Genomic DNA, 25,180 nt, shown 5'->3' on the forward strand with positions numbered 1-25,180 from the left:
AGGGTTTTGTCTGGTTTTTATAGCCCTGCATCCTAGAATAGGCACTCTTGAAATATCTGTTGGACGAGTGAATGAATGTGGCCCTTTGACACCATGTCAGTTGGATAAATAGGGTTGTGTCCCACAATTAAAGCAGATGAAGCTCTTTGTCTCCTTCCTTCTCTATAACCTATTATGCTACAAAAAAAGAAGTCATAGACAGAATTCTATCCAGATCATTTATTTATGCAGGCACAAAATGTGCCATACATCCTGTTCCCTTAAGCTTGGCAAGGGCCTGTTCTCTCCTTCTGGGAACCGTGACAAGCTTCTTCATGAAGTGTTGATCCCAGGCAGACCCAAACAGGTGGCTTGTCAGACGGTTAGACTCTATTCACACGAGGGCTGGCGGCCCTGAGAGTCTTTTGAGCCAACTGCATATATATATATTTTTTTGAGACGAAGTCTCACTCTGTCACCCAGGCTGGAGTGCAGTGGCGTGATCTCAGCTCACTGCAACCTCTGCCTCCTGGGTTCAAGTGTACCCTCCCTGGCTCAGTGTAACCCGCACGGACCTAGGGGGACTGAACAAAGGGGACTGAACGTGGGAATAAAAGACAAGAGACAAAATAATACATTTGGAAGAAGGGGTCAGTGGCACCTCAGCTTCCCAAAGTGCTGGGATTACAGGCGTGAGCCACTGCTCCAAGCCAGAAGATAGAAATTTCTAAGCTTTGCTTTACCAGTGAGGACCCAGGTCACCAAGAAGTGAAAAGATTTGCATATTTACTTATAGTCACAAGATTCTAGTATAGTGCTCATTAAGGATGGGGCTCTGTCTTAAGTGCCTGACAAATATTAATCCATATAAGCTTTATGACAGCCAGCCCTATGAGATGAATGTTGTCATTATGCTCCATTTAAAGACGAGGAAACCGAAGCACAGAGAGTTTAGGCAAATTGCCCGAGGTCACACAGCTGGTAAGTCGTTGAGCCAGGATTTGAGACCAGGCAGACTGGTGCCAGAGTCCAGATGCTAGGCCGCCTCTCCGTAGGACAGTTCTTAGGTTTCCAAAGGCTGCTTCCGTTTGGGGATCAGCCACAGAAAATGATTGATAGTAACTTCAGGCCAGACTCATCAGTGTGTGCCTAAAATCTTCCCTATTAAAATATGTATTTTTCCACATATCTCCATTGGATAATAGAAAGACATGATGGGCCGAGTGCAGTGGATCATGCCTTTGATTTCAGCACTTTGTGAGGTTGAGGTGGGAGGATCGCTTGAGCCCAGGAGTTCGAGACTTGCCTGGGCAACATAGCGAGACCCTGTCTCTATTTTAAAAATCATATAGAAAGATATGCTCATACTCACTGTGGTTCACCTATCTTAGATTCAGGAACCCCGTGCTCTCCTGAACACACTATGGCACCTCCTTCCATTAATTTCCTTTAGGATCCTGTCATGAGAGGGCACAGCTCATCTTCCATATTTACAAAATGCAAAGCTGACATGAACATCCTTCTCTGGCTTCCCATTATTCTTAGGAAAAGTGTCTAAATCTTTAATGAGGTCTAACAGGACCAGGACAATCTATTGCCAACCTCGTGCTCAGCGCTCAGACCACAGCTAGAAGGTCTCCTCCTCAGTGCTGAGGTCTGAATGTGCCCCCTAAAATTCATCTACTGAAACTTAACCTCCAATGTGAGGGTATCAGGAAGCGGGGCCTTTGGGAGGTGATTAGATGATGAGGATGGAGCTCTGCCCCACTCCCCCAGGCCCCTTTGAATGGAATTAGCACCCTGATGGAAGAGGTTGAAGGGAACACCCCAGGCAATTTTTTGCCCTTCCACTCTTCTGCCATGTGAGGACTCAGCCAGAAGGCCCTCACCAGACACTGAATGCCCTGACCGTGGACTTCCCAACAGCCAGAACCATAATAAATCAATGTCTGGGTTTGTTTGTTTGGTTGGTTTTTATTGTTGTTGTTGTTTGTTGTTTTTTTTTTTTGAGACAGGGTCTTGCTTTGCCACACAGGCTGGAGTGCAGTGACACAATCGTGGCTCACTGCAGCTTCGACCTCCCGGGTTCAAGCCATCCTCCCATCTCAGCCTCCCAAGTAGCTGGGACTACAGGCACCTGCCACTATGCCCAGATAATTTTTGTCTTTTTTGTAGAGATGGGGTTTCACCACGTTTGCTAGGTTGGTCTCAAATTCCTGGGCTCAAGCAATCCACCTGCCTCAGCCTCGGAAAGTGCTAAGATTACAGGTATGAGCCATCAAGCCCAATCAGTGTTTGTTGTTTATAAGTTACCCAGTCTCACGTATTTTGTTAAAGCCGCCCAAACATTACAAATCCCCCAACAGCTTGATCTAGTACTTCCTCAGGGGTTACAACACAGGGATATTAAAATTATATGGTTCCTTTTTTATTTACTGCTGGAAATTATTCTATAAAGAACTATTCCTCATCAACTGTTTGTTGACATTGAAATTCAGTCTATGTAAGAAAGACAGGATAAATCCTTGGTTCTTTCCCTTTGCCAGATTTCAGAATAATTACTATTGGGCTGGTCTTTGCTTCTAGGTATTTCCAGTGGAGAGAGTTAAGATACACACACACATACACACACACACACACACACACACACATCGTTTTTGCTTTGAGACACAGTCTCATTCTGTTGCTCAGGCTAGAGTGCACTGGCACGATGATGGCTCACTGCAGCCTCCACTTCCCAGGCACAGGTGATCCTCCTACCTTGGCCTCCCTAGTAGCTAGGACTGCTGGTATGCGCCACCATGGCCGGCTAATTTTTTATATCGTGTAGAGACAGGGTCTTACCATGTTGCCCAGGCTGGTCTTGAACTCCTGAGCTCAAGTGATCTGCCCACCTTGGCCTCCTAAAGTACTGGGATTACAAGTGTGAGCTACCGAGCCTAGCCAAGATGTATGTATGTGTGTGTGTGTGTGTGTGTGTGTGTATCTTGAGGGGGGGAAATAATCATGAGTTTATACTGATATTTCCAATTCAAATTCAGGACCTCTTGGCTTTGACCTGTTGAATTTTACATTTGTGTCTCTGTTTTTTATACTGAAAATCTTGGTTCCCAATGGCATTAACATAATTATATATTTACTTTATCAGTGTGGGTATGTGCAGTCTTAAATAATAACACCTGACAAATGAGAACAATTTAAGATTTTTTTCTGTAGAGATGGGGTCTCCCTATGTTGCCTAGGCTGGTCTCAAACTCCCGGGTTCAAATGATCCTCCCACCTCAGCCTCCCAAAGTGCTAGGATTACAGGTGTGAGCCTCGCCTTAAGATTTTTTTTTCCAGTTCCTTTTGTCTTTAGGCTATACCCCACCAGGCATATGCAGTCACATTGCTGTGGTGTGAAATAACTTGAAATCATTCTCTGCGGGGTTATGCTGACAACTTGGTATGTTATTAAATTGGTTTGTTATATTTCATTTCCATTGTTATGTCATTGTGTTTTATGGTCGTGTAAAAACATTTATATGGTTCCAAAGTTAAAATGACCCCTAGCCATAATCCTTTCACCAGCTGCTGCTTAGTACCTCAAAGACATTTGCAAAGATTTGTTGACTTTTATGACACATGTATATGATTGTCCTACTCTAATTCATCTGCTGGGGGATGGGTGTTTCTTACTGGAAAACCGGAGACATGTCAAGGAGCATGATTTGCCTTAAAGCTCAGCTTGATCGAATACTTGTAGGGTGATTCGCTAACGAAAGGTAAAAAGGCATATTTCAGGGTCTCTAATCAAAATTGCCCTGCTTCACCCAGATACGTTTTTTTTGTTTTGTTTTTTAGAGAGATGGGGTCTCGCCCTGTCACCCAGGCCGCCATGCAGCGATGCCGCCATAGCTTACTGCAGCCTCAAACTCCTAGGCTCAAGCAATCCTCCCTCGTCAGCATCCCTAGTAGCTGGGACTACAGGCATGCAACACCATACCAGACTAATTATTTTATTTTTTGTACAGACGAGTATCACTTTGTGGCCCAGGCTGGCCTCAAACTCCTGGCCTCAAGTGATCCTCCTGCCTTGGTCTCCCAAAGTGCTGGGATTACAATTTCCCCCAAGATTAACGAGCCCTCCTTTCTTAAGACTTTCTCTTCCCGCCTTTTGCAAATCTTTCTTTCTCTCCGGCCTCCTCTCCTGATACAAGAGTCTTTTGTGAATGTTCTAGCGCGTTACTATAGCCTATAGTTATTATAGCCTATAGTTAATGACTATAACATTACTATAACGTTACTATAGCCTATAGTTAATGACTATTAACCACAATCATCACCTGTCACCACTTGACACAGCATCTCACAGTGTCCCTCACCTTCAAAGTTGCTTCCAACTCTGCTTTCAAATATCTGAAAACAGCTGGGCGCGGTGGCTCACACCTGTAATCCCAGCACTTTGGGAGGCCAAGGTGGGCAGATCACCTGAGGTCAGGAGTTTGAGACCAGCCTGGCCAACATGGTGAAACCCCGTCTCTACTAAAAAAATACAAAATTAGTCGGGCATGGTGGTGCTCGCCCGTTTTCCCAGCTACTCGGGAGGCTGAATGAGGAGTATCACTTGAACCTGGGAGTCAGATGTTGCAGTGAGCCAAGATGTCACCACTGTACTCCATCCTGGGCAACAGAGTGAGAATCTGTCTCAAAAAAAAAAAAAAAAAAAAGAGGCCGGGCGCAGTGTCTCATGCCTATAATCCCAGCACTTTGGGAGGCTGAGACGGGCGGATCACGAGGTCAGGAGATCAAGACCATACTGTCTAACATGGTGAAACCCTGTCTCTACGAAAAATACAAAAAAAATTAACCGGGCGTGGTGGCGGGCACCTGTAGTCCCAGCTACTCGGGAGGCTGAGGCAGGAGAATGGCGTGAACCTGGGAGGCGGAGCTTGCAGTGAGTTGAAATTGCACCACTACACTCCAGCCTGGGCGACAGAGCGAGACTCTGTCTCAAAAAAATAAATAAATAAAATATATATATATACACGTATGTGTGTATATATATGTATATATATGAAGAACAAGAAGTGCAGAGAAAATATCCTAGTCATTGAAAAATTGGTTACTTTGTTTCTGCACTGCAAAGTTACTTTAAACTTTGTAATGAATCTAGTGGAGAGATCATTTGAGATGAGGCAAATGTCCTGTTTCTCATCATACATTTACCCACTAATTTTAGCCTGTATTGATGATAATTCTCACCTGCAACAGTTACTGTGGTCTTTGCCAAATGGTGATTTTCTTTTTCTATTTTCATCATTCCTTCTATATTAATTAATTGGAATTCTACTGTAAGGAAAAGTTGTTCCTTCTAACCCATTGATTTGTTCAATCATGTATTTAAGTAGGACCTATATTTTACTTGTTCCTTGCTATATCTTCAGTGTGTAGTACAGTGTCTGACACAAAATCGGTGCTCAATAATAGGTGTTGGATGAATGAGCAAATGAATGAATGAATTCATATTCATATGGCCTACAGAGTTCCCGTACATGCACAACCAATATCACCACCCCGTGGAGATGACTCCCAAATTAATATTTTTAGCAAATGTTCCAGACTTACAACTCCAACTTCCCGGGGGACATCTTCAGATAGCTGTGCCACTGCCACCACCAGGTCAACATGTCCCAAACCATTCAGACCAGCTTTTTCTCCTGAGCTGGACATCTGGCCTCCAACCTTTTCATTCTCTTTTACCTTTCATATTCTATCAGCAGCAGCAGCTGCTGAAATCATACCATGCAAGTTTCTCACGTCCATCTCTGCCTTTTAATGGCGCCCTCTCACTCCTTTAAGAAGTTTTCTTCCACTGCAACACGATCTCTCAGTCCAGAGTCTGGCCCAGTGCCCAAATTATTTCTCTAGCTATGCTGAGAGCTGGTCATGCTTTGAACTTCTGCTTTGAATACTTTCAGTGACACTGGGAGAGAATTATCTCATTGGACCATTGTCATTGTTAGAAAATTCATTGTTATGCTGAAATGAAATGATTTTATTCACACACACACACACACACACACAAAATAGCTCTTCCTCCTGGAACATGACTGGCCTGAAAATGTGTGAAGACATATCCAATCCTCTCTGGTTTTACTGTTCATCCAATTTTCTGTTCTCCTCCTGGCAGGAGGATTATATTTCACCTTGTGGAACTCAGACATGGTCGGGTAACTAGCTCTGGTCCGTGAAAATTGAGAGGAAGTGACATGTGTCACTTCTGGGCAGAAGCTTTGAGAGCCGGTTTAAATGATCCCTTTTCTCTTCATCCATGAGACAAGCTAAGTTCCAGAGAGAGGGTGCCACGCTGTGAGGGACCTGTGTTACGAGTACGATGGCTCGCGTCACTTCAAATTCTTGAAATCACTGAAATTTGGAGGTCAGTTGTTACATCATAACCCAGCCAATTCTAGTTAGCCTGTTTTCTTCCTAACTTCTTTAATCGTTCTTCATAAGTCACAATCGCAGCCCCTCACCGTTCTGACCACTGTCCCCTGGATTCCACTCAGTTTACTCATTATCCCCCTTAAAATGTGGAGCCCAAATCTGAACCCGGAACCCCAGGTGCAATCCCACTAGGACACAACACAATGGGTTCCTGAGCCCTTTGATCCTCTGAATAGAGCCCCTTGTTGCTTTGGTGTTTTGTCTCTGTGTGTGCTTTTATCATCGGCTGAGCCACGCTGTTAACTCGCAGTGAGCCTGTGAACCAATAACTAGAGAAAAAAGATTTTTCCCATTGTCCTCTCGACATATATTGGGAAACAAATTTTTTGATCCGCGTTCAAGTAGACAGGGCAGAACTGTCCAACTGCTACGTGATCTTTTAAAGACAAAGTTAGTGGCAGACCATTTACAGAAACCAGATGTTCTGTCTTTTGGCTCTGAGCATGCTGCTAATCTTCATCATCTAGTGTACTGAACGAGATGTACTGAACGAGGGCTGCAGAGCTGCAGCACCGGCAGGAGTAGGCGCTCGGTAGGACGGGGCCTGCACAACCTCCCCGGTAGTCAGCAGAGCGGAATCTAGGAAGGCTCCTTTCCCGCGGCGCCCTGGAGGCGGGGGCCCCACCTTCCCACGCAGGCGCTATCAAGCCCCGCCTCCTCACCCGCCCGCGGCGTGGCGTCGGAAAGAGCCCTCAGCCCCTCCCTCTCTGGCGCTGATACCCAATGGGCAGCCTCAGGCCTTTAGCGGGGGCGGGGCACCCCCTGGACGCCGTTCTGGTTGGCCCGCGGCCCGGCGCAGCGCATGACGTTATTACGACTCTGTCACGCCGCGGTGCGACTGAGGCGTGGCGTCTGCTGGGGCACCTGAAGGAGACTTGGGGGCACCCGCGTCGTGCCTCCTGGGTTGTGAGGAGTCGCCGCTGCCGCCACTGCCTGTGCTTCATGAGGAAGATGCTCGCCGCCGTCTCCCGCGTGCTGTCTGGCGCTTCTCAGAAGCCGGTGAGACCTCCCGGGCGGGCCGGGATGGGGCGCGAGTGGGGCTGAGGCGGGGCCGGAGGGCAGGGCGGGCCAGGCCGGGCCACCCAGAGCGGGGTGGAAGGCGCCAGGGGAGCCGGGGAGCCTTTACTTCGCCTCCGCGCCCTGCATTCCGTTCCTGGCCTCGGGAGAAGCGGCACGGACCGGGATCACGCCAAGGTCCGTGTGAACTTCCCCCTTCTCGACACCCACCTCCCGCCCCCGGGCCCAGCTGTGCGCCAGGCGAAGTCGGTGTGCTCAAGAGGTGCCTGTTGGGTTACAGGACACGGAAAGGGTGGCCTCGGCCTCCTTCGAGTCTCCAATTGACCCCACTCATTTCGGATCTTCTAACTTAATTTCTCTTGACCGAGAGGCTTTGTAATAGCGTAGAATCTGGAGACAGGGTGGCTTCGTTCAAACAGCACCCTCACCATTGACTAGCCCTGTGACCTTGAGCAAGTTTTTAAACGTCCCGGGGACCCGGTTTCCTAAAATGTTTGCTCGAAGTGGAGTTAATCTCTAAATGGAGATAAGAGTTATCTCTGAAATGTTATCAGTTAACTCTAAAATGGAGATAATAAGAGTCCCCACCTCTTGGGGTTGTCTTGAGGATTCAACGAGTGACACGTGTGGAAACGATTCCAAATAGCACCTGGCACATAATCGATAACATGTGTGTTGAATAGTGTTATTTATTGAGTCTCCAGTTCGGTATACATTTCTTGAACACCTGTGCTCAGTTCTGAGGCGGGTTCACAGAAGGTCAGCCTCTTCAGAAACAAACTTCCTCCTCTTCCCTCTCCCTCAACATCTGAGCTTTTCTTGGCAGTGAGTTCAGGAGCGCCGAAGCAGAACTCAGAGGACGCTGCCCTCCCCTCCCCTTACCTACACATTCTTAGGGTACAAGTAGCTAAAGCAAAGAGCAACGATGCTTGAGGGGTGGGGGGTAGAGTTTAGCACTATTTCATGGCCTCAGCATTTAGAGGTGCCTAACACCTGAGCTAGCATTCTGACCCCCCTAGGCACAGTGAGGTCGTGTTAATTGGTGTAACTGCAGGCCTCGGGATTCTGGTATTTCCCCCAGGACTTGATACCGCTCTACTTAGTACAGGCAGAGATTGTCAAAAGGTAAGAGGTATGCCCCTCTAGGAATCCTGTTGCCTAAAATAATGACAAAACTGCCGGGTGCGGTGGCTCAGGCCTGTAATCCCAGCATTTTGGGAGGCTGAGGCAGGTGGATCACCTGAGGTCAGAAGTTCGAGATCAGCCTGGCCAACATGGTGAAACCCCGTCTCTACTAAAAATACAAAATTAGCCGGTCGTGGTGGCGGGCTCCTGTAATCCCAGCTACTCGGGAGGCTGAGGCGGGAGAATAGCCTGAACCCGGGAGGCGGAGTTTGCAGTGAGCGGAGATCGTGCCATTGCACTACGGCCTGGGCGACAAGAGCAAGACTCCGTATTTTAAAAAAAAAAAAAAAAAAAAAAAAAAAAAAGCGTTCCCTTTAGGGATATCTGTGGGTAGAGGGCTGTACCGGTAGTTACGGGCTCAGAAACATCCTTCCTTTAGGCACCTGATGTAGGTTTTCTTCTTCTTCTGCAAGTCAGGTTCATTGTTTCCTGTATCAGTTTGCAGGGTCCCCCCCCCCCCGCCACCTTACAGTAGGAAGAAAATTGAGTTCCAGATATGAAGTCACCTTTGAAAGTGCCCAGGTATCTTTCCACTTGGTGGTGTAAACTCTTCAGATAATTAGAAGTTTTCTGTGTCACTCAACTTGTCATGGACTAATTAGGAACCATTCCTGAAGCTTTTAAGGATAGAACTAAAAGTTTCACTTTTATTTTTTTAAAGGGTGGAATAATAAACTAACGTGTTGACTCTTTGTATTTTGTAATTCTTCATACTTATGGATGTCTTTTTACTTAACTATAAGTAACAAAATAGATCAACGTTTTAGTTTTTTATATTATACATGTAAAAAGACATTTTGCATATAAGCCTTTCACAAAAATCTTGACAGTAAACAATAAGCAGTGGCTCACCCAAATTAGGCAGACTTACTGCACTAGACTCCTACCATCTGTGTGATACTCCATGAAGGGAGGGAGAAGGGGAGGGAGAAGGGTAGGCAGCTGGTCTGATGGCTGTGACACAAGATAATCCCCTTAACCTCCCAAGACGCTGTGTGTTTTTTCCTTTTTTATTCTCCCTGGTTTACTTTCGTTTTGTTTGAGACAGGGTCTCTGTGTCACCCAGGCTGGAGTGCAGTAGCAGGACAGCTCACTGCAGCCTTAGCCTGCTGGGCTCAAGCGATCCTCCTGCCTTAGCCTCCTGAGTAGCTGGGAACACAGGCATGTGCCACCACCACACCCAGCCAATTAAAAAAATTTTTTTTTTACTAGAGACATGGTCTTGCTACGTTGCCCAGTCTGGTCTCCATCTCCAGGCTCAAGCAGTCCTCCCACCTCGGCCTCCCAAAGTGCTGGGATTACTCTCACTCTCTTAAAACCAGGCAGGTAGGGAGATTTATCTCAGGCTTAAAGATTGCCATTGTCTCATCAAAGAGTGTTTGGTGTGAAACTTTGAAATGAATATCAAGATTGTGTTTTTATTTTTGAATAAGGTTTATAGTTTTCATAGTTCTTATTTCATGGAAGAAGATTGAATGCATTTAAAATGTTATTTTATTGTTTGCATTTCTGTATGGCTCCTTTTGTGAGATCTTTACTAGCAATGTTTTGGCTTTATAAGTGGTAGGTAAGAGTTTTAATTTACACTGTTAGAATCTGGAATTTTTGAAACGTTTTTCCTCTTTCACATGAATGGTTCCTATGTATTTAGGAAGTTAAAGTTTTACTTTTTTTTAATTAATTTTTTTTTTTAGGCTGGAATGCAGTGGCACAGTCATAGCTCACTGTAGCCTCAGGTGTGTGCCACCATACCTGACTAATTTTTTAATATTTATTTTTGTAGAGATGAGAGTCTCATGTTGCCCAGGCTGGCTTTGAACTCCTGGCTTCAAGTGGTCCTCCCACCCTGGCCTCCCAAAGTGCTGGGGATTATAGGTGTGAGCCATCATGCCCGGCCTAGTTTTTATTTTTTAAAATTTGAGTGGGTTGTTCGTGGTCTCTGTCAGAGAGGAATCCCATTTAACAGAGAATCTTTTTATGGCTCTCCAGAGAAAATGAATGGTAAACTTATCTTTTCAACAAGCTCTCACTCAGAAATGATACACACACACTTCTGATAGGACTTTTAGCTTCTTTAACTTTGTTCCTTTCACTCATATCAGTGGTTCTTATTTTTGAGATACACAGTAATGAAGCCATGGGAGAAAGTATCTAAGTAGCTTTCTGGCAGTCCTAATCTTTGCAGGCGCAAGATTACAGGCGCATGCCACAGCACTGGGCCCCTTCTTGCTCTTTATTGTATAGCATTATCCTGCCTCATTGTTTCAACTCTAGGATTGAGAAAGAAGTTACCTTTTCTCTGTTACTGTCGCCTGGCTGGTTTGGACTCCTGCCTTCCAAAAACTGCAGTTTCTGTAGTTGTATTTGGAAATTTATTTCACAATACAATAAATTTCTGGCCCCACAAAATATTTATTAACTGCCAAGAATAACACATCTGTTTGATTGCTAAATATAACCATTGATTTGCTGTTTCACCTTCTCTCAGCTTTACTTCTTCCCAAATTCCTAAATTTCCTTCACTTTTTCTGAGATACATTAGTGGACTGTCTCTGCCTGTAAGTTAACTGAAACACTGATTCCTAGTATTTCAGTTGTTTTCCTCCAGCACTGTCATTGTCTGTGTTTGTTGGCTTTGTCCAATAATGGTCTATTGAGGGGTGAAGATATACGTAATTAGCTTTCTGCCTATTGGCTTGTACACTCCAGGGTATACTTGGCAGATCAGTCTTAACTCTTCTCACCAAGATCAGTCCAGTGCTGGATTAGGTAAGGTATGAACACATCAGATGTGCTTTTTATGGAGAAATCATGTTGGTTTACACGTCAGTGTGTGAGAATGTGGCAGAAGGGAGCTAAAATAGTATGATAATACTACTGGATAAATTTTGTGGTCTAACCTAAACCTTAGCCATTACATAGAATACTTTTGCTGTGAGCAGGTTTGCTCAGTTGTAAAACTGGAAAGGAATCATTTCTCACCCCCCGCCTCCAAGCTTTTTACCTCCAAACAGTGACAGCCACCCAAACATCAAGAGAACAGTGTTTCAGAGAACATTTCTACTGGGGCTTCAGGAGGAGCCTGTCCAAGATTTAGGCTGTTCAAATTATAAATTATAAAACAGCTGGCTCAAGCCCATTGTGTTTAAGTCAGAGAGTGCTAAGTATCTTTTCTTTTGTCTTGTCTCCCTAAAGTATTTATCTCATACTTCAATCAATTTAAAATATTTTTTCTTACAGATCCAATTTGATAGAAGAGTCAAGTTTGCCTAGAGTGGAGATTAAATCATAGTTTTATTTGAAGTATAATTTTGGCTTGCTCAAAATGAACAGTATCTGGTTATGACTAAGAATGGCATGAAAAGGCCAGACGCAGTGGCTCATGCCTGCAATCCCAGTACTTTGGGAGGCCAAGGCAGGTGGATCACCTGAGGTCAGGAGTTGGAGACCAGCCTGGCCAACATGGTGAAACCCCATCTCTACTAAAAATATAAAAATTAGCCGGGCGTGGTGGTGGGCACCTGTAATCCCAGCTACTCGGGAGACTGAGACAGGAGAAATCACTTGAACCCGGGAAGCGGAGGTTGCAGTGAGCCGAGATCGCACCACTGCACTCCAGCCTGGGTGATAAAAGCAAAACTCCGTCTCAAAACAAACAAACAAAAGAATGGCATAAACAGACACAGCTCACAGATGATCTAGTCTCTTTAGCCACTAATTTCATTATATTCTCACTATAATTTCTTTGAAAACAAAGGATGGGTTTGTTTTTTGCCCCTCTTTGCGCTGCTTGCCTTCAGATGCGGGATAATCCTGTTTCATTGGCCAAAGCATGGATTCATTTTGGAGGCCAAGGAAGATGCAAACACAGTGCACAGGGTGGAAGAGAAGCCTATGAATATGTTGGGGCTTATTAAATTTCCATAACTTCATTCTGATAACTGATTATTATACTTTCCAAAATAGCTGACAATTAAAAAGTACTGATTTGTTTGTATATTTTTGTCTTTTAAGGCAAGCAGAGTGCTGGTAGCATCCCGTAATTTTGCAAATGATGCTACATTTGAAATTAAGGTAAGAGGTGTTTTACTTTGTTAATAATTTTTTCACAGGTACACTCTGATATACAGTTTTACCTTTAGAATAGAACATTTTGATGTTCATGCTTAGTCATCATTTTCTTCTAAATGTTCCAGGATCAGAAGTTCAGAGAAGCTTCACGAAAACTAGAATTTATTATTAGCAGCTTGCTGTTGTTCTGTGGGGGGAAGGGGGAGGAGCTAGAAAATGAAAATAAAAATAAAAGCTTATTCAAAAGTTTGGAATGTAATTCAGTGAAATATTTGAATAAGAAGAGTCTTAGTTGTTTCTTTGAAGGTTCTTTCAACCTATAACTCAGTTGGCTTCTAGGGGCTTTCAGTGAAAATCATCTTAGAAAGATTTCCTTCCCCCAAGCCCCATCTCATTGCACAGTGAGGTTTATGGATTTAAGGAACAGAGGCGATATGAAGCATTACTGATGTGCTCCTTTGCAGTTTTTCAAGTTCAATATTATTTGCAATGGAGTTAGATCTTAGAGTGGTCAACAGTGTTTGCAATGTAGTATGTGGAGGATAATAACTACCTTATTCCATTTCAGAAATGTGACCTTCACCGGCTGGAAGAAGGCCCTCCTGTCACAACAGTGCTCACCAGGGAGGATGGGCTCAAATACTACAGGATGATGCAGACTGTACGCCGAATGGAGTTGAAAGCAGATCAGCTGTATAAACAGAAAATTATTCGTGGTTTCTGTCACTTGTGTGATGGTCAGGTGAGTGGTAGGTTTGTGGTGGAACTGTGTTATTTAGGTACTGAAGTATGGCTTGTACTTATTGGGCTTTACCCTGCCATATGTATCAGAAGAGTTTGAGGCTGGTAATGTAATTTTCTTTTATTTATTTATTTTTTTGAGACAGTCTCTCTCTGTCGCCCAGGTTAGAGTACAGTGGTGATCTTGGCTCACTGCAGCCTCTGGTTAGAGTACAGTGTGATCTTGGCTCACTGCAGCCTCTGTCCACTGGGCTCAAGCAATCCTCCCACCTCAGCCTCCCGAGTATGTGGGACCACAGGTGCACACCAACACACCCAGCTAATTTTTGTATTTTTTGGAGATACGGGGTTTCACTATGTTGCCCAGGCTAGTCTCAAACTTCTGGGCTCAAGTGGTCCGCCCACCTTGGCCTCCCAAGGTGCTAGGATTACAGGCGTGAGCCACTGTGCCTGGCTGAAGCCAGTATTTTAGAATTAAAAAGTAGAATGCCAAAACCTGCTATGAAGCTTAGGCTAAAGAATTCATTCACACATAACATTGCCAGTTTTCTGTACCTGTTCTTAGAGTTTTACTATTTTAAAACTTTCTGGCACTATGATCGCCTGTACTGTATATAATTTGGAGAGAAAGGATTAGTTTGTTTTTTGTTTTGTGGGCTTAGGTCAAGGGTTAGAGTCAAATACCTACAAGGGCCAGCCAGGTAGAATAAATGAGTGAAGAAGGCTAGGTATACAAAACAGAAAATGGTGACAGGGACTCATGCTGAACTGGCACCAGCATGCCCTACCCAGAGGAATGCCATGACTTGGTTCCAGCCAGTTGGTGCCATGTGGAAATCAGGGGTAATGTTTCCTGTTTTCCATGTCTAAGAGAAGGCGGAAGTCTGGATTTTCATGTGAAATTCCCCAGTGTTTTAATGTTGACATCTGATGTAGGCTTTTCTTTTAGGTCATCATACAGGAGAAAGGAAGGAAGTGGCACATGTGTGGGTTGCCAGTTTATTGCTTCTGGTTTGGGCCTTCCACTCTGTATTTTGGTGGAAAATAGCTACTTTCTCTGGTTATTAATGACAGGTTCTACTAGCCCACATATTTCACTGTGGTCTAGGAAACGTTTTTATTTAGAAACATGTATCATATTGCCTCATAGTTTCTCCTTCCTCTAACACAGGAAGCTTGCTGTGTGGGCCTGGAGGCCGGCATCAACCCCACAGACCATCTCATCACAGCCTACCGGGCTCACGGCTTTACTTTCACCCGGGGCCTTTCCGTCCGAGAAATTCTCGCAGAGCTTACAGGTTTGCTGTTGATTTACAGAAAGGGGAAATGAGTGGATTAAGTTTTTAAATATCTGTCATTAAGATGCTATTATGAGTTAATATTTGTTAAAAATTTTAAGTTTCTTTTTTTAACCCTCTCTCCTTTGGTGCTCTGGTACTTCTGTTGTGCTCTTGAGTTAACTGACCATTTGTGAAGTTCTCTGGCCCCTCAGGTAAAAGTTTAAAACAGGTTGGTGCTATAAAATCACAGTAGGTTTGGTTATCATTCAAGCATGCCAGAAGAAGTCTAGCAGTCATAGAAAGTAAGTTCGGTTGAAGCACTCCATGGTATGCAATGTAAATTCTAGAAATCTTCTTAATATTCCCCTTTTCTTTGTCCCCCGTGACTATTTGTTTGTTTTGGTGGTTTTTTTTTTTTTTTTTTTTTGAGACTGTGTCTCACTCCGTTGTCCAGGCTGGTGTGCAGTGGTGTGATCACGGCTCACTGCAACCTCCACCTCCCGGGTTCAAGTGATTCTCATGCCTCCACCTCCTGAGTAGCTGGGACTACAGGCATGCACCACCACACCTGGCTAATTTTTGTATTTTTAGTAGAGATGGGGTTTCAACATGTTGGCCAGGCTGGTCTCCAACTCCTGACCTCAGGTGATCCACCTGCCTTGGCCTCCCAAAGTGTGCTGGGGTTACAGGCGTGAGCCACCGCACCTGGCCTGTTTTGTTTTTTTGAGACAGAGTCTCGCTTTGTTGCCCAGGCTGGAGTGCAGTGGCCTGCCTCAGCCTCCCAAAATGCTAGGATTACAGGCGTGAGCCACTGTGCCCGGTCCTCCTCCTCCTCCTTTTTTTTTTTTTTTTTTGAGACAGAGTTTCACTCTTTCACCCAGGCTGGAGTGGCTGGAGTGAAGTGGTATGATTTTGGCTCACTGCAGCCTCCGCCCCCCGGGTTCAAGCAATTCTCCTGCCTCAGCCTCCTGAGTAGCTAGGATTATAGGTGCCCAACCACCACACCTGGCTAATTTCTGTATTTTTAGTAGAGACCAGGTTTCACCATGTTGGCCAGGCTGGTCTTGAACTCTTGACCTCAGGTGATCCACCCTCTTCGGCCTCCCAAAATGTTAGGATTACAGGCGTGAGCCGCCGTGCCCGGCCCTCCTTGACTCTTGAACTATGGTTGTCCCTCTATATATCCAGGGGATTGGTTCTAGGACCCTCGAGTATACAAAAATCCTCAAATACTCAAGTCCCAAAGTCAGCCTTCCATATCTTCGGGTTTGCATCCTGAGAATATTCTATTTTCAATACATGTGTGGCTGAAAAAAAATCTGTGTATAAGTGTACCTGTGCAGTTCAAACCCTGTTCAAGGATTGAATATATTTAGTGTACTAGTATAGGAGAGGTCCTAAGATGTTTGTAACTGGCCAGAAAACCCAGAAAAGTCCAGGGTATCATCTGGATGGAACATCTGAAGGAAACTAAGTGACTAGAGAGTAGGAAAAGCTGGAAAGGTTGAAGCACATGGAACTAGTGAAAGGACAAGGAGAAACATGTGTTTGCCTGGAGGGACAGGTACTTAGACGACTGAACTGGCCTCTGTGTTCTAATGGTTGAGCCTCAGAGTACATATTTGGGGTGCGGTTTGGTTTGCTTTGTAGAGTTGGTTTGTTCTGCACATGTGTATGTTCTGCCATTTCCAGGACGAAAAGGAGGTTGTGCTAAAGGGAAAGGAGGATCGATGCACATGTATGCCAAGAACTTCTACGGGGGCAATGGCATCGTGGGAGCGCAGGTAGTCAAGGACGAGGATTGTGTGCTGCTTTAGATTTGGCCCTGGACTTTGTCTTCAAAAACTTTCACAGCCCCAGACAACTTTTCCTGAAGTAGTACAGCCATGTGCTGCACAGTGACGCTTTGGTCAATGTCGCATATATGATGTTGGACCCATAAGATTATAATGGAGCTGAAAAATTCCTGTCGCCTAGTGATGTTGTAGTGGCACAACACATTACCTTTTCTACGTTTAGGTACACAAATATTTTGCCTACAGGATTCAGTAGAGTCACATGCTGTGCAGGGTTGTAGCCTAGGAGCAGTAGGCTCTACTATACAGCCTAGGTGTGCAGTGGGCTGTACCATCTAGGTTCGTGCATTACAGTATGGTGTTCACATGACAAAATCGCCTAGTGATGCAATTCTGAGAATATATCCCTGTTGTTAAGTGACGCGTGACTATTTTGGGGGCTTGGTTTGCTTTTAAAGACCTAGTGCTTCATATCCTACCGTTTGAGAGATGAGTAGATTTGGATGGTGATTTATAATGTTTCCTTTTAGGTGTCTGCTGTTTTATAAGTAAGCAGGAACCTCTAGCAGTGGAGCCATACCTTCCCCTTCCTATTTATATTTCAGTACATTAATTGCTTTATCTTGTCAACTTCATTTTGGGGTCCTTGTTCTCATCAGTTAGTGAATGATGAAGAATTAACAGCACAAAATTATATCCGGACTGTTTCTTTTCCTTTCTAATATATTAAGATTCTATTATGTGTTGTTTTTTTTTAAACCTAGGTTTTATTTTTCCTTTTGAAATGGAGTCTTGCTCAGCCGCCCAGGCTGGAGCAGTGGTGTAATCTCAGCTCACTGCAACCTCCACCCCCGGGTTCAAGCAATTCTCCTGCCTCAGCCTCCCGAGTAGCTGGGAATATAGTTACGTGCCACCATGCCCAACCATTTTTTGTATTTTTAGTAGAGACGGGGTTTCACCATCTTGTCCAGGATGGTCTCGATCTGTGGACCTCGTGATCTGCCCAAAGTGCTGGGATTACAGGCGTGAGCCACCACGCCCGGCCAGGTTTTATTTTTTAACTCTTGAATGCAGAAATGTTAGTGCTTACTGGTTAAAATAGAACATAGTATTTATATATTACTTTAGTGCTTTATTGAAAATATCGGAGGTGGGATAAACAGAGAGATAGGGTTGGAAGGAGAGTTTGTAGCAGCAGTGTAATTTCTGTGTCAGATTCTGGCCAGGAGTGAAAATGCAGGGCATTAATTAGTATCTCCCCTCATGGATTTCTGTGGTTCCTTTCTCGGTTGTCCTTAATGTTAGGTGCCCCTGGGCGCTGGGATTGCTCTAGCCTGTAAGTATAATGGAAAAGATGAGGTCTGCCTGACTTTATATGGCGATGGTGCTGCTAACCAGGTAATTATGTCTCTTAACTTCCCAAAAACAGTCTTATTTTCAAAGTCTTTAATATTTACAGTTGAATTTCTAAAGAAGTAGCATATTGCTTATTAGGTGAAATAGCAAGTCCTATGGCTAGCTCAAATTTGGTTGACTTATGGCCAGATTAGAGATTGACCTCTTAGCGTTGTTTCACAAGAGACTTACGGGGGCACATTCCTGTGAAGGAGCTCACCTTTGCTCTACATCAGTGCTTGGCAAAGGCCCTGTGGTAAAGGACCTCCCCACAACCTATTGCAAAACAATACAGACCCATTCTCTTGGATGTCCGGGCTGGCAGTGTCAAATTCGGATAATAGCGTCTGAGTCCTAACTCAGTTTCTATGCTTCTCTTGTTACCGAGTAATCCCCAGTCTGTGGCCAGCACTCTGTGAAGCCCTGTTCTAGAGGCTGATTCTTAGGTGCTGGTTCACTCTGGCTATCCAGTGGGCCTGATAGATTTCATATTGATCTTTTTTCCAGTGTGTTCCTTACTGCTAGCATGGCCCCAAAGAAACAAGTAGTAGTTGGTTTGTCACCTTCCTTAGTTGCAAGAGTATGATGCCTGCTACTTCTCCTCCACCACCCACCCCGCTTTCCCTCACCACCCAAAGCTCGGTTTTAGAAGAGGAGGCTTTCTGTGCTTTATGAAAGCTTTCTGTGCCAGGCAGAGCAGCAGCTGTTAGAGATGATGAAGCCTGGAGAAAGAAGCCAAATGAAACCCCTTTTCGTAACTACTTCCAGGGCCAGATATTCGAAGCTTACAACATGGCAGCTTTGTGGAAATTACCTTGTATTTTCATCTGTGAGAATAATCGCTATGGAATGGGAACGTCTGTTGAGAGAGCGGCAGCCAGCACTGATTACTACAAGAGAGGCGATTTCATTCCTGGGCTGAGAGTAAGGACACCTGTGGTGGGGCCGGGGCCAAGGCCAAGGCCAAGGGTATGTCCTTGTGCAGACCCTTGACGATCTTAGAAACATTGGAGAGTTTCATTCTCATACAGGAGCAGGTCATGTGAAAGTAAAATGGTTTGGGGCAGTTGGATTCATGCTTCGCCCCTCCCCTGTTTATTACCAGGTGGATGGAATGGATATCCTGTGCGTCCGAGAGGCAACAAGGTTTGCTGCTGCCTATTGTAGATCTGGGAAGGTAAGGCTCTAAAGCCCTCTGGGCTAGTGACATTTATCTCTGGAAGTTCAAAGACTGCCTCCCATGTGCCTGCTGAAGCTGTTAGTGGGTACCTGCTAATTGAGGTGCATGAGATGGAAGCAGAGTGAAGGGAGCAGGGCTCCTTTGGGTAGCTTGGTCTTGGTAGCTCACCTGCTGGGAAGCCTACGTTTCTCTCATTTGGGGGAAGTCCGTTCTGGTGCTTCCTCTGCTTTGGCCTGTCTTCATGACAACTGATTTGCCTTTTCCTTAGGTTAATTCTGTCCCTCCTCCCCACCCCCCATTAATCATGAGTCCCTTGAAGGAACAGATTGGGGATCCCCACAGTGTCCAGCATAGAATGTCATGTATACAATAGGCATTTAATATGTGTGTCTTATACAAATTAAACAGTATGGTAGAAGCTCGTAATCTTAGTCTTGCTCAGTCCTAAGGATCTTTCCCTTTTCAGTGTATGGCAGTGAGGGAGATGGTAAGAGGGAGACTGGCCTAAAGAGGTTTCACTTCCTTTGGCACTAGTATAGGCTTAGGAGGTTTGGGTGTTCTCCCTAAATCAGTGTTCTACAGCCCAGAAACAAGGTTTCTGAAGTTGGCACTTCAGCGCCATACCATGTACGTTTAGGCAGTGATGTGAATCAGATGTGGCCAGCAATGATGGAAATGTCACAAAGTGGAGAGACAGGGAAGTGAGGGTGGGAATGTAGTAACATTAAATAAGAGCTAATGAGTAGAATGAACTAGAGCAGGACCAAGACTACAGCTTGGGTACAATGGGCTGAGCAGTCTATGTCAGGACCCTAAGGCTGGGAGTGCCAGGCCCTGAGTGATGGGTATTGACGCCACCTCTCCCAATTCCTGAAAAGAATACATGGGGGCCAGCCCTGGCTGGAGACAAGGGGAGTTGTAGAATGTAGTTGTAGAATGTGTGACTTTCCCAAACAGATAACCTTCACAATTCTGAGTTAGGTGTTATTGTTTTGCCCATTTTGCAGACAAGGAAACTGAGCCATAGAGCAGTTAAAGGTACACAGCTACTCTGTCTTGGAGCCAGCTCCCCACTCGCCCATTTTAACTGCTGCACCAAACCAACCAAGGATCCTCAATGTTTCTCCACCCCAGTGTTCAGAGCCGTCTCCTGGAAGTGGGCTAGTGTAGAATGAGCGAGCCCAACTGTCCAGACTCCCAGCAGAGCCTTGGGGTTTGGGTAGCAGAGGTTGTTGGTGCCTGCCAACTTTGTTACACACTAGCAAGGTCTGTGAAGTAGGAGTGGCTGCCAGCCCCACAACACACCATGAGAAAGGAGCATGAGATGGAAATCTGTCTAGCCAATAGCAGGAGGCTCTAGAACATGCTCAGAGCCTTTTTCTTTTTTCACAGGGTCTCGCGCAGTGGCACACTCACAGCTCACTGCACCCTTGACCTTCCAGAATCAGGTGATCCTCCCAAGTAGCTGGGACTACAGGCGCACGCCACCATGCCTGGCTAATTTTTGTATTTTTTGATAGAGATGGGGTTTTGCCATGTTGTCCAGGCTAGTCTCGAACTCCTGGGCGCAAGTGCTCTGCCCACCTCAGCTTCCCAAAGTGCTGGGATTACAGGCATGAGCCACCATGCCTGGCCTTCAAAGCCTTTTTGATTCAAAACAAGCTGTTGGCAGATTGCCTTATTAAAAATGAGAAAGATGAAATATGCAATCAATACTTGCTAGAAATGAGAACAGATCAGTCAACCAATAAGAAATTCGTGACAACTCAGAAGATCTGATAAGACTACACTGGACGCTTAATAAAGGGCCTGCGTTTGAGGCCGTGGATTGCCGGCCTGTTCTTCCAGTCATCGTTCCTAACTAACTAACTGCCTACCGGTTCTGTTTTAGGGGCCCATCCTGATGGAGCTGCAGACTTACCGTTACCACGGACACAGTATGAGTGACCCTGGAGTCAGGTACGCTCATGGGCAGTGTGGTTTCCATAGGGGTGGGCTTTGAATGGTGTTACATGGCAAAAGCAACACATTTCAGTATTTGCTTTTGGAGCTAGATACCAGTTCACTTCATGTACGCAGTTGTGTTGGGCATCAAGTTATCTGAAAGCAGTGCCTCCTAATAAGAAAGCTTTCTGAAAATGCCTACAGTGTATAGTGTGTGTGAGCACAAGCAGCAATTTTTAAAGAAAGAGTGTTATATACCTTAATTGTAGAGGGAAATTGTTACATAAAACAGGGCTGATGGTAGTGTAGTATCTTGGGGGCATTTAGCTTTTGTAGGCATTACCCCAAGTCTACACCTGGCATACTCTACCTGAAGAGGATCAGAATTTGGAGATGTTCCTCTGTCTGGTATAGAGCTAAGGGTAACTGGGTGTTCAATCCGTTGAAATACATCAATCAAAAAAGCTAGGTTCCACTAGGAAGGCATGAATTTTACTTTTTTGCTTAGTAGCTCTGGCCTGTGATTCTGGAATCCCAGTTTTGACACAGTTGAATAAATAAGCCTTTGTAGAGTGGACTTCTAAGGAAAAATCATGTAGAGAGCACAGTATATGGAAAAATGCACTTTGTGTAAATCTATTGTTGAAAATGGTAGAATCCTTTTAGTGTTACTTCAGATGATATAGGCATAAGATACATTGGTTTTGCTGGCTGTGCTTCTTTAGGGGGACTTAAGGGAGAAAGGCAAGGCACATGGATTTCCTGCTTGGCGCTCTGATGTCTCAAAGTCTAATTATCACCACACACACCATCTCTGCTGTCCCCACCCATGTAGTATACAGGAGCCCAAATGGGTGGGACAAGTGACACTTCTTTAGAACCTTACATCTAAATCAAAGCAGCAAGCAAAAACTTGGCCCCTGTTGTCGGAATGCCAGGGAAGCCATGTGACTCACCAGTGTACGGTTTTCTAGAAAAGACAGAAGCAGTTATTACAGAATGTTAGGCTGCGTTCTGGTATTTTGAAAGTATAACAACAACTCTGCCACGCCTATAGTGACATAAGCATTGGTATGCCCCTTTGTTTCAGAAACACACTTCTGTATTTCACCTCATTGGGACAATCCAACCCCATATCATGTTTCATCACGCCGTCCTTGCTCTACTGGAACTGCTCTTACTGATCGATTACTACTTTTCCCTCCCCATAGTTACCGTACACGAGAAGAAATTCAGGAAGTAAGAAGTAAGAGTGACCCTATTATGCTTCTCAAGGACAGGATGGTGAACAGCAATCTTGCCAGTGTGGAAGAACTAAAGGTACAGTCACTTGTTCATGGTGGTTTGAAGGTTGGCTTTAAAAGTTGCCACCCCTGGGTGGCCACAGAGTTTGTGTGGGTTCCTCCAAGCCCAGAAAGTGATGTCCTGGGACATAAATAGTTCCATAGTTCCAAAGTCCCTTGGGGTGGGGGCTTTTCCTTTAGTTTCCTCTATTCAAAATTGTATTACTCTTCAGATTTCAGATTTTGGTGGACTGTGAACCACCATCACAGTGGCAAAGCCCCCACAGTAGTATGGTTCTTTTTTCCTAAAAGTATACTGTGGATTTTTAATTCATAAAATAGATACACCCTAGAAATCTGTATTCCAAAATCTTCTGAATTAGCAACTGTTCGTACTTGTAGTTAAAGAGTTACACCAGCAACAGGTCCTCAGCAGAACTCTAGTTGGTACCTAAGCTGCTGTTCATTCTAAAACCTTTTACACTGTTACCTAATTTTTAGGAAATTGATGTGGAAGTGAGGAAGGAGATTGAGGATGCTGCCCAGTTTGCCACGGCCGATCCTGAGCCACCTTTGGAAGAGCTGGGCTACCACATCTACTCCAGCGACCCACCTTTTGAAGTTCGTGGTGCCAATCAGTGGATCAAGTTTAAGTCAGTCAGTTAAGGGGAGGAGAAGGAGAGGTTATACCTTCAGGGGGCTACCAGACAGTGTTCTCAACTTGGTTAAGGAGGAAGAAAACCCAGTCAATGAAATTCAATGAAATTCTTGGAAACTTCCATTAAGTGTGTAGATTGAGCAGGTAGTAATTGCATGCAGTTTGTACATTAGTGCATTAAAAGATGAATTATTGAGTGCTTAAAGATTATTTTTGACTTAAAATAGTATACTTTGAACAAATACTCTAATTATGAAAAGGAAGAACAATTCCTTGTATGCCTGTTTCCCCTGCCCCCAGCCACCTTTTTGGGAGGAGACCATTATGGCGGGGCCCCTCACAGCATTCTACCAACCATAGCACCCACCCCGAGCAGCGCTGGTGCTGCAGCCTGTTCGCGCTGACCATTTCTCTACAAGATACAATATTTATTATCAGGCAAGAGGACAGTTCCATTTTAAAATAAGACTTTTGTAATCATTCCAATTTTGTAATCATTTCAAAGGCCACATAACTTAGTTTTCTCTACTTACACATTCAGTATAAATATGAAGCTATTTTCTGTTCATATCAAACATTAACTACAAGGCACATTCGTATCAGTTTTGTGTTTCTCAAATTGAAGTACCATACCAGTTCTGAGGCAGTGTCCCAGCTTCCATGTTTGTTAAATACCCCTTGTTTGTTTCACCATTCCAGCAAGTGCTGAAGGGTGTACTTTTTTTGAGACAGGGTCGGGCTCTGTTGCCCAGGCTGGAGTGCAGTGGTGTGATCATGGCTCACTGCAGCCTCCACACCTCCTGGGCTCAAGCAATCCTCCCACCTCAGCCTCCTGCATAGCTGGGACTACAAGTGAATTTCCTAATATTCCGGGAGGTCAAAACCAAGGCTCACTGTTTTCACAATACACACAGTTCTATGTTTATAAATAACAGGTTTCAAAAGAAACTCAGGACAGTATTTAAAACAAGTTCTTAAACTATTAATTGAACAATGGCATTTTTAAATATGTAAACACAGCGGAATTCGTGTATACACTAACAGAAGCTTTAACAAAACATGTAGCGTGGTGGGACACTCTGCCACAGCTTAGCTGATTGGTATCAAGCCTTGTCTTTGGTTTCTGAGGCCTCCTGAGCCCTTCTGTACTGGGAGACCGCACTCCAGAGTCTGCAGAGGAGACCACCCCTGGGAAACAAACACAGCTGTCTTCAGAGTCAGTGCTTCAAGCCAACAGAGCTTAAAACTGCAGTCCCTAATTTAAAAACCTAATGAAAATAAAAACATTCTCCTCACATATGGAGGTGACGCTCGTGTCCCAGCAGTAGTAGGACATGGCCTTAGAGGTACGTACCTGCAGAGAGCTGGCTATTTCAAATGACTCGGGAACAAGAAGGCAGGCTGCAGTTTAAAGAAGGGGGTGGGTCCAGCGTGCAGGCACGCTTGCCATGTGCCTCCACCCACTCCCAGCCAGGCATTAATGGCAGGAGATTGGCCAGCTCTTCTCTGTCACATTCCTATTTCTGACTTCTGCCTGGCTTTCAGTTTCTGCCCCACCTTGGCTTTTTCCCAGCTTGAACCTAATAGAACTCCAGAGTTTGGGGGGAGGCCCAGCCCTTTGTTTTCTGCTCTTGAAGCATATTCACACATAAAAAGTTGTATTCTCTTATACAAACTGTTTTGAGGCTCTTACCGTAGTCGAAGGTATCTTAGATCTTCCTTAGTGATCTCATTAAGAATATCCGAAAGTGTATAACCCTCTTCAACAATCTGAAACAAAGATCAGATCCTTAAGAGCTGAGCAGCTGTGTAACAACAGCATAAGAATTTCTTTGTTGTAAATTTACCTTTTCAATTGTCTTTGCATCAGCTCCTTGCAGCCGCAACCAGTCTATAAGCTCTTTATCTGTTCTCTGCCCGTAGGGGCCTGCTGGGTTCTCTGTAATACCTGTAACGATTGGCAATTTGTTATATATTAGTCTAACCATAAAACTCTTCAAAAGTAACCAGTTGGATTAATAAATGATTCCAGAATGTAAATGTGATGTGAAAAAGAGATGAATTAACCCTGTATCACTGAACCACGCTAATACGTATTACACAATTCATAATTCTGAGATTCACTTTCTAGAAAGCCTCCTCATCTAGGATACCTTCAGTTA

At 44.7% G+C, this 25,180-nt stretch overlaps 2 protein-coding genes across 10 annotated transcripts in view; one reads left to right on the top strand and one right to left on the bottom strand.

Annotated features, from left to right (window-relative positions):
* PDHA1 (pyruvate dehydrogenase E1 subunit alpha 1) lies at positions 7,300-25,091 on the top strand. 5 transcript variants are annotated; one of them, NM_001173454.2, is made up of 12 exons: positions 7,300-7,467; positions 9,883-9,996; positions 12,685-12,744; positions 13,310-13,483; positions 14,654-14,780; positions 16,455-16,546; positions 17,864-17,956; positions 18,722-18,877; positions 19,059-19,130; positions 21,025-21,092; positions 22,289-22,397; positions 22,862-25,058. In NM_001173454.2, exons 1-12 carry the CDS (start codon positions 7,411-7,413, stop codon positions 23,024-23,026), a joined length of 1,287 nt encoding a protein of 428 aa, NP_001166925.1. In that variant the 5' UTR covers positions 7,300-7,410; the 3' UTR covers positions 23,027-25,058. The 5 variants fall into 5 exon arrangements, with proteins under 5 accessions (NP_001166925.1, XP_016885063.1, NP_000275.1 ...); XM_017029574.3 differs by lacking the exon at positions 17,864-17,956 and having other exon boundaries at positions 22,862-25,091; NM_000284.4 differs by lacking the exon at positions 9,883-9,996 and having other exon boundaries at positions 22,862-25,091.
* MAP3K15 (mitogen-activated protein kinase kinase kinase 15) overlaps positions 23,432-25,180 on the bottom strand; it is a 155,450-nt gene continuing 153,701 nt past the window's right edge. For all 5 annotated transcript variants that reach the window (NM_001001671.4, XM_011545508.4, XM_011545507.4 and 2 more), the window contains 3 exons: positions 24,866-24,966; positions 24,712-24,788; positions 23,432-24,206 (listed from right to left, as the gene is read on the bottom strand). In NM_001001671.4, the coding sequence (NP_001001671.3) occupies positions 24,122-24,206; positions 24,712-24,788; positions 24,866-24,966 (263 nt within the window). In that variant the 3' untranslated portion in view covers positions 23,432-24,121. The remainder of the gene's footprint in view (positions 24,207-24,711; positions 24,789-24,865; positions 24,967-25,180) is intronic.

The sequence above is a fragment of the Homo sapiens genome, chromosome X (genome assembly GCF_000001405.40).
Source record: "Homo sapiens chromosome X, GRCh38.p14 Primary Assembly".
Classification (NCBI taxonomy): domain Eukaryota; kingdom Metazoa; phylum Chordata; class Mammalia; order Primates; family Hominidae; genus Homo; species Homo sapiens.

What these genes read in the sequence shown, in the direction of transcription:
- PDHA1 (NM_001173454.2), top strand. Translation starts at nt 7,411, where the DNA reads ATGAGGAAGATGCTCGCCGCCGTCTCCCGCGTGCTGTCTGGCGCTTCT. An exon ending in ATGCTACATTTGAAATTAAG is followed by an intron (nt 12,745 to 13,309) that starts GTAAGAGGTGTT and finishes ATTCCATTTCAG; the next exon opens with AAATGTGACCTTCACCGGCT. An exon ending in ATGAGTGACCCTGGAGTCAG is followed by an intron (nt 21,093 to 22,288) that starts GTACGCTCATGG and finishes CCCTCCCCATAG; the next exon opens with TTACCGTACACGAGAAGAAA.